At 46.0% G+C, this 13,917-nt stretch overlaps 1 protein-coding gene across 5 annotated transcripts in view, besides 2 other annotated features; it reads left to right on the top strand.

Annotated features, from left to right (window-relative positions):
* Nucleotides 1-13,917, top strand: part of KIF25 (kinesin family member 25) — a 47,421-nt gene that overhangs the window by 26,172 nt on the left and 7,332 nt on the right. For 4 of the 5 annotated variants that reach the window (NM_030615.4, NM_005355.5, XM_047418749.1 and 1 more), the window contains 3 exons: nt 5,650-5,835; nt 6,931-7,005; nt 10,040-10,189. In NM_030615.4, the coding sequence (NP_085118.2) occupies nt 5,744-5,835; nt 6,931-7,005; nt 10,040-10,189 (317 nt within the window). In that variant the 5' untranslated portion in view covers nt 5,650-5,743. Of the gene's footprint in view, nt 1-5,649; nt 5,836-6,930; nt 7,006-10,039; nt 10,190-11,661; nt 11,962-13,917 lie in introns of those variants that run through there. The other variant, XM_047418750.1, reaches the window with a different exon arrangement.
* Nucleotides 1,517-1,695: a silencer, noted in NCBI's record as "fragment chr6:168426039-168426217 (GRCh37/hg19 assembly coordinates)". NCBI's record gives its function as "represses an EF-1alpha promoter that drives an FKBP-Casp9 reporter gene in an ReSE screen in K562 erythroleukemia cells {active_cell/tissue: K562}" and the evidence as "EXISTENCE:reporter gene assay evidence [ECO:0000049][PMID:32094911]".
* Nucleotides 5,599-5,780: a silencer, noted in NCBI's record as "fragment chr6:168430121-168430302 (GRCh37/hg19 assembly coordinates)". NCBI's record gives its function as "represses an EF-1alpha promoter that drives an FKBP-Casp9 reporter gene in an ReSE screen in HepG2 liver carcinoma cells {active_cell/tissue: HepG2}" and the evidence as "EXISTENCE:reporter gene assay evidence [ECO:0000049][PMID:32094911]".

A 13,917-nucleotide genomic window follows, 5' to 3' on the forward strand; every position in this document is an offset into this window, starting at 1 on the left:
TCAGAGACAGTGCACTTTGCAGAATGTGTTTTACTACTCAAGGATTGCAATAATATTAGAATCTGTATAGTCTCATGCATTTTTATTATTTACTGAAAAACATTTTATTTGTATATCTAAAACCAAATAACTTGATTTTTTTCCCCTAAAATAATCATATTTAAAAATCTCACTATGAATACTCAAGAAAATTTTCATCAGTTTCACATGTAATAAAGTAGCTTCCTGAAGAAACTTCCATACACGGTGCTGGTGGTTCAATGGATTTAATTTGTAAGAGCAAAGCCAGTCTTCACGTGCAAAAGCTTTTTCTCATGTCTGTGCACTAAAAACAGTATAGAGAAAAATGATACTTTTTATCAGTGTAGAAAAGAAGCAAATTTATGAGCACTTTGGAGTAATAGCCCCATGGCTTAGCTTCATCATGTTTGTTTATGCAAACACTTGTGGAACTTTGCTTCCTCGTGACACACAGTTTTTTTTACAATCCTTCACTGGGCTGACCTTTCTTCCACTATTGATTTTGTCCTCTTTTGATGACTCAATTATGCAGGGGAATAATCTTAGTAAAAACCTCTCTCTTTTTTTTTTTTTTTTTTTTTTTTTTTTTTACTGTGCTTCAGAGTAATCTGGTGTTGGGCTAGGTAAGGAGGGAAATGGGGTTGGCCTGACTCCTTCCAGGAGTTTATACCCTAGTTGAGAACTAGGCTTGGGATGGGAGGCTTGGGAGATCTTTACAATGATAAGTAATATCAACGTTGGCAGAATAAGGTGAAGCAATCAAAATAGGTGACATAATTGGCCAAGGATGGAGAAGAAAGGAATGTTCGGGGCCGGGCACGGTGGCTCACACCTGTAATCTCAGCACCTTGGGAGGCCAAGGCGGGTGGATCATCTGAGGTCAGGAGTTCAAGACCAGCCTGGCTGGCTGGGCACGGTGGCTCACGCCTGTAATCCCAGCACTTTGGGAGGTCTAGGTGGGTGGATCACCTGAGGTCAGGAGTTCGAGACCAGCCTGGTCAACATGGTGAAACCTCATCTCTACTAAAAATACAAAAATTAGCTGGGCGTGGTGGCACACGCCTATAGTCCCAGCTACTCGGGAGGCTGAGGCAGGAGAATCGCATGAACCCGGGAGGCAGAGGTTGCAGTGAGCCGAGAATGTGCCACTGCACTCCAGTCTGGACGACAGAGTGAGATTCTGTCTTCAAAAAAACGAAAAAGAAAGAAAGGAATGTTTGGAATGGAACAGGGTTAATGAGGGAAGCACCTCTGGGGAAGAGGCCTTGAGCCTGGACTCAGCTCTGGAGGTTTAGGTGGGACAGGCATCCCAACAAAGGACAGAGACTCATCAGAGACGCGGGGACGCTCACTGATGAAGGACCTGGGGGTGTGGCTGGGGAATGTCTCCTTCGTGATGAATTCTTCTCAGTTTCCCTGTGTCCCTCGGTTGGAGGCCGCTGCTCCAACTTCTCATTTCCCGCTCCTGCTTCATCTCTTGGAATAGTGTTTGGCACATTATAGTATCTGCTTCTACTATCGTCTTCCCAACTGGAACACGAGCCCCGCGGGGCTGGGGACAAGGTCTTACCTTGCATCCCAATAAATGAGCATTTCATTTAAATTGTGTTTAAAATCGTGGCTTGCTGGATGATGGCTGAACCGTGTCAGCTGGTGTCGGTGGTAGATACATTGTGGTAAAAGCTTTTTCCTTCCTCCCGACCCCACCTCCAATCCTTGCAGTTTACTGTTACACACCCTAGACTTGACTTGGGAAGTAAACAGCGCCAGCTTAAGGAAGCACGTGGCCTATTGATAAAGGATTGGGCTGAATGTTTAGAGCCAAATGCACCCTTCGGTTAAAGTGCTGAAGGATTCAATGCGCACCTTCGGGTGCTTAGCACAGAGCTGCTGAGAAGGAATAAAGTAGGGTCGGATTAGGAATAAAAAGTTTAAAGTATGATCCTTTCCCCACGCGGCTTACACACAGGCTGTGGGTATCGGTCATCACCGCAAAGCAGCCAGAGTCCCACAGAGTGTGCGGCCGAGTACTGAGTGACAGAGAAATTCCTGTGGGCAAGAGAGTCACAGAGTGGCTAGAGCTTGAGCTGGGTGGAGTTTAGTTACATACGTCACCTACACGTAGCCCTTGGCAGTCTCCAAGTACTTTCAGGCCGTTGGTCGTCCCAGGAGGACCTGAAGAGGAAGCTGCGGGGGGCACCACCGCCCAGTCTAGTTAAACGATGGCTTTTAGTAAGCGTTGGATTTGGGCAGAAGGTCTCAGTCTTTGGGTTACACCAGGCTGCTGCTCAGGTCAGTGGAGAAGCACAGGCAAGGGCACTGTGGTGGGGAAACCACCCTCGGGGATCGTGTGACCTTGTTTTGGGGAAGAAGGAAGTGGAGCAGCACAGTTCATGCCGACACGTGTCTTCTCAGAGGGCCCTGTCTCAATATGAATACGCTGAGGGTCGAAGGGAAACATCAAAATTGTGCTGTTAGAAGTGAACAGAAAAATGGAAGAATTTGTGCAACTTGCTGTCTATCTATAGAGTTAGGGGAGACTTTAAATATAAATCTCTGCAAGAATTCATTCTGGGGTAATATTGTTTAGCATTCAGGATCACCGTGTTTTTATAAACAGTGGAGCATATGGTTCTTATGAAATCAGAACATTGTTGGTTTTTATAACAGCTTTTTATGGAACTAACGAATGTCAAAATATTTTATTTCCATTCTAAAAAAAATTCCAACACTTTCAGCCCTTAACTTATTTTAAAAATAAATTTGTATGAGGGGGAAAGTTCAATTTTACTATTCAGAAAAAATATTAATAGGTCCAGGGTAAGAAGAAGGTTATTTTCTAAGTGAAATAAAAATATTATTTAAAAAAGGCAAACCAAAAGTAATGCCACTGATCCAAAATGCAAGGAGAAAAAGAATAAGTCATGTTCATTGTTTTGAGAAGAATTCATTTATCAGGAAGCTGAAGGACTGCTGGCTGTATTCTTGTAGAACAGGAATTTACAATGTGATATTCCTAACTGACACATTTGTGTGAAATTTCTATAGTCGTTCAAGTTCAAGCATTTTTCTGAGCACCTATTATGTGCCAGGCACCCTGTTAGACACAAGGGATGTAGGTGAGAGGAAGGCAGCATTTTTGCCACCAAGACCTAGAGCTGTAGGGACCGTTCCCAGGAGGCTGCGCTGAGCTCAGAAGCCACCAACACAGCAGTGGGGCAGGAGGCAGAGATGGGGGAGGCCCTCGACCTGGGGCTTGACAGCTCAGCTAACCAGGAGTTAACCAGGCATAGAAAAAGGGAAAGGTGGCCGGGGGTGGTGGCTCACGCCTGTAATCCTAGCACTTTGGGAGGCAGAGGCGGGCAGATTGCCTGAACTCAGGAGTTCGAGACCACCCTGGGCAACATGGTGAAATCCCGTCTCCACTAAAATACAAAAAATTAGCTGGACGTGGTGGCACACACCTGTAGTCCCAGCTACTTGAGAGGCTGAGGCAGGGAGAATCGATTGAACCAAGGAGACAGAGGTTGCAGTGAGCTGAGATTGGGCCATTGCACTCCAGCCTGGGCGACAGAGCAAGACTCTGTCTCCAAAAAAAAAAAAAAAAAAAAAGAGAGAGAGAGAAAGAAAAAGGGAAAGGAGATTCCAGGTTGGGGGGAAAATGGTCAAAGTTATGAAGAAAAAGAATGAGAATGACAGGGTCCAAGCACAGGAGCCTTGGGTGTGGCTGGACATGACTGTGGGAGGTGGGTGCTGGGGGTGCCAGGTCCCAGGGCCAGCTTCCCACTGGCACCGGGACCGCCCCTCCTCCCCGGACAGCCGCGTGGGCAAGGCCGGCTTCCCTCCACATCCCCACGGAGCACGAGGTCAGATGCATGGGTTGTTCCGGTCCGTGGGTGAGAAACGGGTTCTCTGTGTCGCGTCTCTTCAGAGCGAAGTTGAGTCTTTTCGTGTGCTTCTGACATTCGCATCTTTTTTTCTGTGCATTCTTCACTTCTCTACAAGGACTGACCTTTCCCTTCTCTATCTCTAGGAGCACTTGATAGAACAGAAATATTTAAGCCGCCGCTACTTTCTCAGTCTGTCGTTTGCTTCTGGTGTCTTTGAGCCACACGAACATGTTTACATGATCGTAGGTAAAAAGGCTGCCAGGTTCCAGAAGAACCCCCCTGTGGACTCTGCTGGGACACGCATGGCCGGGTGGTTTTCATTAAACTCGTGGTCTGTTGGGAATGTGTCCTAGTCCATTTTATAAAGAATTGACCCCATTTTATCTTTTTATATCTATTCATTTACTGCAACGCCACTTATTTTTTAAAATATTAATTAAAAATAATATTTTAAAATTTATTTATTTAAAAAAAGGATATAGAGATGGAGTTTTGCCCGTTGCCCAGGCTGGTCTCAAACTCTTGGGCTCAAATGATCTGTCCACCTTGGCCTCCCAAAGTGCTAGGATTACAGGCGTGAGCCATCGTGCCCGGCCTGTAACACCACTTATTAAAACACCTCTCTCCCCACTGACCTGAGATGCCCCTTTATCTGACAGCCCGTTGCCACATGGAGTTGTATCTGTCTTCCTTCGGCCTACTTACTAATTCACGCAGCAAGACCAAGCTGTCATAGATAGAGTCTCAGAGAAGGTTCCAGTGTCTGAGCCCGTCCCATCCCAGTTCCTCTATTTTCCAGGGCTTCTTTCTATTCTCGTTCTTTTATTTTGCCAAAAAAAATTGTAACAAAACTTTGGAGCTCCAGGAAAAACCTGACAGCATATATAGTATTTTGGGGGGGATTGAGGTAAGTTTATAAACCAACTTTGGAAAAACTGGCATCTTCATGAGTTGACTCTTCTATTCAGGAACATGCCGTGACTTTTCACTTGTTTGAGTTTAATCATGTATTTTCAGGAGCCTTTTTATCATTTTCTTCATGAAGGATTAGAACATTTCTTATTAAGTTTATTTCCAGGCATATTTTTGTTGCTATCACTGATAGAGTCTCATCTCCCAGCATGTCTTCTAACTCTGTTTGTATATATAGAGGCTATGGATGTTTTTACATTAATTTTATGACCTGCTGTTTTGTTAAATTATTTTACTGATTTAGTAATTTTCTTTGTCTTTTCATTTTGGATTTCTCAGATGTATGGCCATATTAGCTCCAAGTAGAGATTGTTTTGCCTTTTCTGATTCTTATGTCACTAATTGATTTCTTTTGTTCAACTGCATAAGCCAATCATAGCTCGTTGCAATATTAAATAGTATTGCAGGTAAAGAGTATTGCAGGTAGTTGGCATCTTGGACTTTTCCCTCCTATTATGGGAAAAACTCCAGTATTCTTTAAAGGTAAGATGTACACAAAACCTAAAATATTTACGATCTAGTTTTTTCAGAAATAGTTTGCCAACCCTTGCCATAGATTAGGAAACTTAGAAGGCAGCAACCCTGTGCAATGTAGATGCCATGATGAATTATTATTTCTAAAACACCAGCTGGAAAAAGTAACTTAACTAGACAATTAAGGAAATGCGAACACTGACTTTTGGATGGTGTTAAAGAATAACTAACATTCATGTTAAGGCATGGTCGTGGTAATACTGTTACGTTTTCAAGTCATGATCCTTTACAGATATACTGGCCTTCCCAGCTGACATGGACCTCAGGTCAGCTTCAGCGTGAGAAGCAGGCCAGGCCTGGGTCTGGAGCCGTCCTGGCCTTCCCAGATGACATGGACCTCAGGTCAGCTTCAGCGTGAGAAGCAGGCCAGGCCTGGGTCTGGAGCCGTCCTGGCCTTCCCAGATGACAAGGACCTCAGGTCAGCTTCAGCGTGAGAAGCAGGCCAGGCCTGGGTCTGGAGCCGGGTGATGTGCACATGGGGCTCACTTTTCTATTCTTTCTACTTTTGTATCTTGGTGTATTTTCTGAGTGAAAAGTTAAAAAAGATCTCAGCCCTGAGCATCTTCCCACACAGTGCTCACCACACCCTCTACATCATGCATGTGGAACACCTCATAAGGGTCCCCTCCCCCATGTCAAATTAATGCCGCTGCTGGAGGCGAAGTGGATCAACTGAGCGTCAGGACACACTTGAAAATGAAGGAAGGAAAAAACTTGGTTCCAGCTAAGTCAAAACCTGTCGTTCAGGAAACTGAGGTTCACATTAAAGCATACCTGACCAAGTGCAACCAACCACCAGTGCTGGGCAGCTGCCAGGGAGCCTGTTCTCTCACCGTGCTCCAGGCTTCTTTCAAATTGTGCAGGAAACGGCATTTTTTGGACGTTGCTTCCTATTTTATTTGTACCTGTTTATAGACCCAGAACCACATGAGGTTTCCTTTTCAGAGTGGACATCCAGTCCCATGATATCAATTCAAGTTCTGCTGAACTGACCTGGGGCCTAGGAAAACAAGATTTTTAAGAGCTTGAACATAAAAATCAAATGTTATATATCAAATATTGCTCAGAGTGGGATTTTTACATTGTGATTATTGGGCCCTCTAAAGTAGAGCTAATTTAGTTATGGGATAATTATATCCTCCCTCTGTCCCTCTCTCTCTCCCTCCCTCCCCCTCCTCCTCCCTCCCCTCCCCTCTCATCTTCCCTCCCCTCTCCTTTCCCCTCCCGCTCTTCCCTCCCTTCCCCTTCCCTTCCTTCCTTCCTTCCTTTCTTGCAAGCATCTGTCACTTCATTTATGCTTATTACATTTTCATAGCAGAAAGTACTATCTTTACTCTTTATTAACCTCTGTTATCTTGAAAAATAACACAGATTAATCTTTTGTTGAAGAATCCTGATGGCGTTGGGGGGATGGGAAGTACACGGGGCGTTGTGTTCCCAGGTTTCTGAGTCTGCATGCTAGAGCCGCTTTCTGCTGCTTCTATTAATACAGCATTTTCACTTTGTCTCTCAGGGTTTATGGTCCAGCAGAGTCTCAGAGCGCGGTCTTTGGAGATGTGTGCCCCCTACTCACTTCTCTCTTGGATGGGTGAGTTAAAATATTTTTAAGGCCAGTCATCATAGTTACATTTGAATATAAAGAAGCTTCACTGTGCTGTGGAGTGAGAATGTAGCATTAGAGTCTGAGCATTCTACAGCACTGCAGAGCATGCCCATGGGTCACCCAGCATGGACTCCACTTGCATCCGTGGAGACTATTTCCGCACCCTGGGAAAAGGAGTGAGAATGATTTGGAGAATGCTTGTTAAATGAGCATATCCACCTGGGATTCCAAACTCCACTTTAGTTACAGTGCATGTGGGCTTAAGCCTGTGAGTGCAGCTGCCATTCTCTCTGGGATTCTAACATTTCAGAATTTAAAAAAAATCTGTAAGGAATGTTAATGTCAGATTTAGGGACTTTTCCCTTTGGGAATCAGCCTTCTATTCTTGCAGTATACAACTACTGATGTCAAAGGCAGTGGGCTGTAATTTAGGAATGAAGAATTTTTTTTTACTTAATGGAGACACCTTAAGCCAATACTTTCCACTCTGGGGCATTTTGAAGAATCTCAGTTTTGTGGCAGAAGTCCACATAAAGTTCCTGACGAAGACTTACTTGCATTGTCCAGCAAAGGCTTCTGCACAGCCAACCTCAAGGAACCTCAAGGACCTAGAAACTGTAATTACACAGTGTGCTGCGCGTCCCAAAGGCACATGATCCAACGAGTAGGGTCAAGTCAGGAAGCTCCTGCATCTGACCACGCACGCACGCGGGGCCGCTCCGCCAATCATGATGCAGTTGCTGCTTCAACTCTTCCTCCAGAGGGCTGGGATTTTTATACCCATCTGAAGAAATGGTTTTGAAAATGATAGGGGAGTCTCTTTTTAAGTAGGCATCTTTTAAGTAAGCAGATTCCAGAAATAAAAAAGACATCGTGGTCACAGTGATCACTGCCAGAACTGCCTTTCCAGGATAATGCGAAACAGATGGAGTTAGTTTGAGTTCTGAGTCTTGTCAGCAAAAAGAGTCAAACCCTGTAAAATATTGGGAGAGATTTATCCTGAGCCAAATATGAGTGACCGTGGCCCATGACACAGCCCAGGAGGTCCTGAGAGCACATGCCCAGGGTGGTCGGGCGCAGCTTGGTTTTGTACATTTCAGGGAGACATGAGACTTCAATCCAATTCATTTTAAAAATACATTGGCTCTGGAATGTCTGGGTTAAGGTAAAGGATTATGGAGACTAAAGTTCTCATTTGCAGAGGAAGCCTTTAGGTAGCAGCTTCAGAGAGAACAGAGTGTAGATGTTTCTTATCAGATGTAAGATCTGTGTCGATATTAAGGCTGCAGGGTATCGTGAGGCCTGTCCGGCCCCCACTTCCCGTCATGGCCTGAACCAGACTCTGAGGTTAAATTTTAGAGTGCCCTGGCCAAGGAGGAAGTCCATTCAGATGGCTGGGGGGCCTTAGAATTGTGTTTTTGGTTTACAGCTTCCTTCTCCGGGAAGTTTCCTTTTAATGTTCATTCTTAAATGGTTGAAAGACTCCTGTAAGAACCCGTTTATCTGTTGTAGTCAAAGATATTCTCCACACAAAGAAATGCATGTAAATGAATTCAGGGAAGCTGGAAGAGACATAGCCTATAGTGGGGTTTTGTTATGAATGCCTTGAGACTTTTTAATCCTGGAAGGAAAACTCACAGGATGGTAACGCAGAGGCCTGATCAGCTTGGCGGGAGCTTGTGGTTTCCAGGCTCTTGTGGCTGGAATGTAACAGTCAACCCTAGTGACTCAAACCGTCAGCCCCAGGACTGGGCTCTGCTGCTTTTCCTGTCCTTTTCTAGGGGAGACTTAGATGTCAATCAGAACACTGTCTTGCAATCATTTTGTCAAAACAACAAGCTTTATTTGTTGGACTTGTGGTGGGTACACCACGTTAAACCGGTATTGATACACCGGAGTCACAGTTGACCAGTTAAGTCAGAATTTCTGAGTGCAGGACTTGCTGAATCTCCCCAGATGACTCGGACGGGGGGTCAGGGCCGGAGATCCTGCTCTGAGGCATGAACCCACTTAGCATCAGGTCAGGTGGACCCATACCTTTACAACCATGAACATCTTAAACATCATGACTAAGAGGATGATTTTCTATCATACTTATTTTAAATATTCTTCCAAATATTTCTGATCCTCCCATTAATATTTTGGGCTAAATAGCACAATTGGAAGGAAATGTAGGGATGTTGGTAGTTAACTTCTCTGAAATAAGCTGCAGTTAGCTAATTGAGAGTCTTGGGGCCGAGAGGCAGCAGGTGCTACGTCACAGAGAGGACCTCAGCACATGTGGATTGACTGTGGACATGAACACCTCAAAGTCGCTTCCAATTACAAAATACAAAATTTTTCTTTTGTATGAAACATACGCAAAAATGGCTCATGCTTGTAATCCCAGCACTTTAGGAGGTTAAAGCAGGAGGATCCCTTGAGTCCAGGAGTTTGAGACCAGCCTGGCCAATATGGCGAAACTCCATCTCTACTAAAAATACAAAAATTAGCTGGGCGTGCTGATGCATGCCTGTGATCCTAGCTACTTGGGAGGCTTAGGCAGGAGAATTGCTTGAACCCAGGAGGCAGAGGTTGCAATGAGCCAAAATTGTGCCATTGCACTCCAGCCTATGTGACAGAGCAAGAATCCGTCTCAAAAAAAAAAAAAAAAATAGATAGTTACAGTGAAGGTGTGGGGATTTAGGAAGGCCTTGCTAAGGTCAGAATCCCTATGTGAATGCTGAGCTGGTGGATGGGGAGATGAAAACACCCAGGAGAAACCGGGATGGATGAACCCACGCTGTGTGTGTGTCAGTGCAAATACCGTTTAATCCAATGTCGTACAACAAGATAGCAACAAGGATAGATTATGCAAAAAATAGTTGTAGTTAAATGAAAACCTAATTTATAAGAAATGGAGTAACAGGAGAATAGGAAATGAAATGTATTGAAGTTTCTCATACAAGTGAAAATTTTTCCTGGAATCTTCTTGGCACCCACGTGTGTTTTGCTGGACTGAATCTGCTCTGAATTTTAGGTACAATGTTTGTGTTATGGCGTATGGACAGACGGGCAGCGGAAAGAGCTATACCATGCTGGGACGCCATTCGGACGACGGCCCTGTTCTGCCGCTTGACCCACAGAGTGACTTAGGAATTATCCCTAGAGTGGCTGAGGAGCTCTTCAGGTACTGCCGATGGTGATGAGTGGGGCAGAGAAATATGGCAGGGAAGCCAGGCGGTCAGCACCTTGGTTATCACGTGGGAAAAATTATTACCATTTGAAGAAGGTGATCAAACCCCATAATCTCATCAGATACATTCAACACTATGAAGTGCTTTCATACTTCTGGGCATTATTGCTACCAATCCTGTGATGAAATTATGTTGCAATTCCATCATTAAGACTAAACTTTATTTTTAAATTTTTTTAGAGACAAGGTCTTGCTTTGTCGCCCAGGCTGGAGTGCAATAGTGTGATCTCAGCTCACTACAACCTCCACCTCCTGGGTTCAAGCGATTCTCCCTCCTCAGCCTCCCGAGTATCTGGTATCACAGGAGTGTGCCACCACACCCAGCTAATTTTTGTATTTTTAGTAGAGACGGAGTTTCGCTGTGTTGGCCAGGCTGGTCTCAAACTCCTGACCTTAGGTGATCCACTCGCCTCGGCCTCCCAAAGTGCTGGGATTATAGGCATGAGTCTCCCTGCCTGGCTAAGACAAAACTTCTTGAAAGAGATCCCGAGTTACAGGGTTCCTTAGGCAGGGGTGGAGGTGGGGGATGGTGAGGGATGGAGGTTTTCTGTCCTGGAATGGGAAGCACAGAGGGAAAACTCCCGTCCTTCCGTCGCCCTTCCTCCTGCCGCCATCAGGAGTGTATGCATTCGCTTCTCTTCAGGGGTCCAGCCAACATGGCCTGCGAAGATGCTCCCGACCCGTTAGCACATTCTCGAAAGAGACCCACTGCCCGTGTCATGATTTCACCAACATAGTTAGTTCTAGGGAAAAATAAAATAGTAAAAAGTCGTCTCAGTGGCCGGGCGCGGTGGTTCAAACACCTGTAATCCTAGCACTTTGGGAGGTCGAGGCGGGCGGATCACAAGGTCAGGAGTTCGAGCTTGCATGGATGGTGCATGTCATTAAATATTCAACCAGTCATTTTTCCTTCTGCTAAGCAAACTCTTTAAGTTCCAGAAACAAAGGCTCAGGCAAGAGCCCTGGGGAACTGAGGTAGAAAAAACAAAGGCTCAGGCAAGAGCCCTGGGGAACTGAGGTAGAAAGCGGGAGAGAATGGTGGGAGTTTCAAGACCCCCCGCCGCGTCTCTTCTCGTCTGTGAGAGCGGGGACACCACGGTGGAAGGGGGCGATGTGGTGTGGCAGCACGTCCCGGACGTCGGCTTCGCAGTGTTCCCAGTGTGAGCTGCGTGCGTGCTTCCGAGGCCGTTTCCCCCTCAGCTGGGCTTAGAGATGCACGATGCACAGCCAGTGAGAGCAGGCGTCGTACATTCCACGGCTGCGTTTCCGTTTGGCTCTGGAATTTGCCGACGGAAGCATATCCAGGGCGGCAAAGGGATGCCGGGGCTGGAACGGCGCGGCGGAGGAGGCGGGAACGGCGCTGCGGGGGGGGCGGGAACGGTGCTGAGGTGGTGGCGGGAACTGCCCTGCGGAGGAGGCGGGAACTGAGCTGAGGCAGCACTGGGAAGAGCTGTTAGCTGCCTAAAAGTGTTAGGGAAGATCCATCAGGAAGATGGCCAGGCGGCTGCGCCTCTCCAGAAACCGGATAATCAGCGTTACCAATGGGCCCATCGCATTACTGGCAAGCGTTTCAGTCGCCTCGTTTCTAAAATGGTTTTTCCGTTTTGCTGTTCTGAGTCTCGGGTGCTGTGCGTCTCCCTCCAGGGCACAGTGATTTGCGGCACTGGAATCCCTCAGTCAGAGTCTCAGAATCTCTGCTCTTCCAAGTGAGTGGCCCCGGGCAAGGCCGTACTCTCCCTACACCTCACCTTCGTCGTTTGCAGAAACGAGAATCGGAGCAGACACGGACCGTGTCCTCCCTCATCACATCCACACACGACCTGGAGAGGGGTGCACTGGGCCAGGGCTGGGGGTGAGCTTGGGTGTTCGTGACTCAAGTTGCAAACGGCCCTCTGCCCAAAATGATACAAAACCACAATGACATCAGTGCTGATATCAGAGATAGTTTACAGGAACCCTTTACCCTGAAAAGGACTACTCTTAGATTGCTGAAGTCACCAGATAAGCCATTTCCTGTCGTTTTAAAGTAAATAAAATGCTACTGCCTGGATTCCTTGGCTCTGCACGCCTCTCTCCTTTCTTCTAAACCTGGTTGTTGACACCGCCTCCTTCCCGACTGCTCTCCGCTGTCATCCTTATCAACAGGAGTGTGTGATGTTTCTCCACCTGCTACACACTGTCAGAGGCACAAGGGATCCAAAAGTGCATGTGATCAGTTTTCTGCTTTTAAAAAGTCTAGAGTGGAAACGGGTAATTATGACCCAGTAGAAAATGGGCAGGAACAGATGGCAGAGACAAAGCCTGGCCCCGCCCCTCCCCGCCCCAGAGAGTCAGGGGAGCTGCGTGCATTGGAATCACACTGTTCATTGCAGGACCTGGAGTCCTTTGCGTGTGTGCCTCGCCTTCTCAACACTTTGCTTCTTAAAGGCTAAGACTGCAGCCTGTGGTTTTCACCATTGTCCCTAGAATCTAGTCAACAGCCCAATGATTACTTGTGGGAAATCTCTCAAATTAACTCCTCGGTATTATGTAATTGAGAAATCTCTAACTTAGGTTTTGTGACACTCAAAGAGACAAACTGACACATAAATGATGGGCCCAAGTGTGGAGGTTAAGTTTCTGGATATGTGGTGCATTTTGCCTAAGGTGTGGAGAGGAGGAGAATGTAAAAACTCTAGTTTAGGCTGGGCATGGTGGCTCACACCTATAATCCCATAACTTTGGGAGGCTTAGGCGGGTGGATCACCTGAGGCCAGGAGTTTGAGACCAGCCTGGCCAACATGGCAAAACCCCATCTCTACTAAAAATACAAAAATTAGCCTGGTGTGGTGGTGCATGCCTGTAATGTCAGCTACTCAGGAGGCTGAGGCAGGAGAATCACTTGAACCTGGGTGGCAGAGGTTGCAGTGAGCCGAGAATGTGCCACTGCACTTCAGCCTGGGTGACAGAGCGAGACTTTGTCTCAGATAAATAAATAAATAAATATAAAGTAAAATAAAATCTGTAGCTTAGCTAACTTCATGTTTCACTGTTGCACACACTCAGAGTGTTCTCAGCAAACCCCAGTGCTGAACCTGTCGAATCCAAATCTTGATGCTTTGCCAATAATGATTTTTACCTGAGAGTTTTACTTACTTTCTCTTTCATTTTAGTCTTCATCATTTTCTTGACTGTTTGTCATTAGAAGACAAAACTCCTCTAGATCTGGATGAAAAACTCAGCCTGGCAGCGCCTGGGTGGGAAACATTCCTGCTGGATTTTCCCTTGAGTACAGATAGCATCCTGTCACTGAGGACTTCCCGCCCGGTTCTCAGAATAGCCTTAGGAACAAGAAAAGCACAATGCTCACCATCGGATTGACATCACCATGCAGGTGGTAGAGAGGCGGTCACCTCCAGCAGAAAGAAAGAGGCCTTTGTTATTTGGTGACGAGGTTGGAAGGGGAGTTTTGTCAGAGACAAACCAGAAAGCCAGAGGGAGGAGAGAGAAAGGGAGGGAATCCAGGGTTAGCACTCACCCATTTCTTGTTGTGGGATTAAGGTTTTATTTCTCTCTCTCTCTCTCTCTCTCTCTGTAGTATCTTTATTTAAAAACATTCCTACAAGCCAGTGCATAGTTCTTTAAAACATGGAGCAAAATAAGATGTGCAGCTGCTTTTTGTT

This window comes from Homo sapiens, chromosome 6 (assembly GCF_000001405.40).
Source record: "Homo sapiens chromosome 6, GRCh38.p14 Primary Assembly".
NCBI lineage: Eukaryota > Metazoa > Chordata > Mammalia > Primates > Hominidae > Homo > Homo sapiens.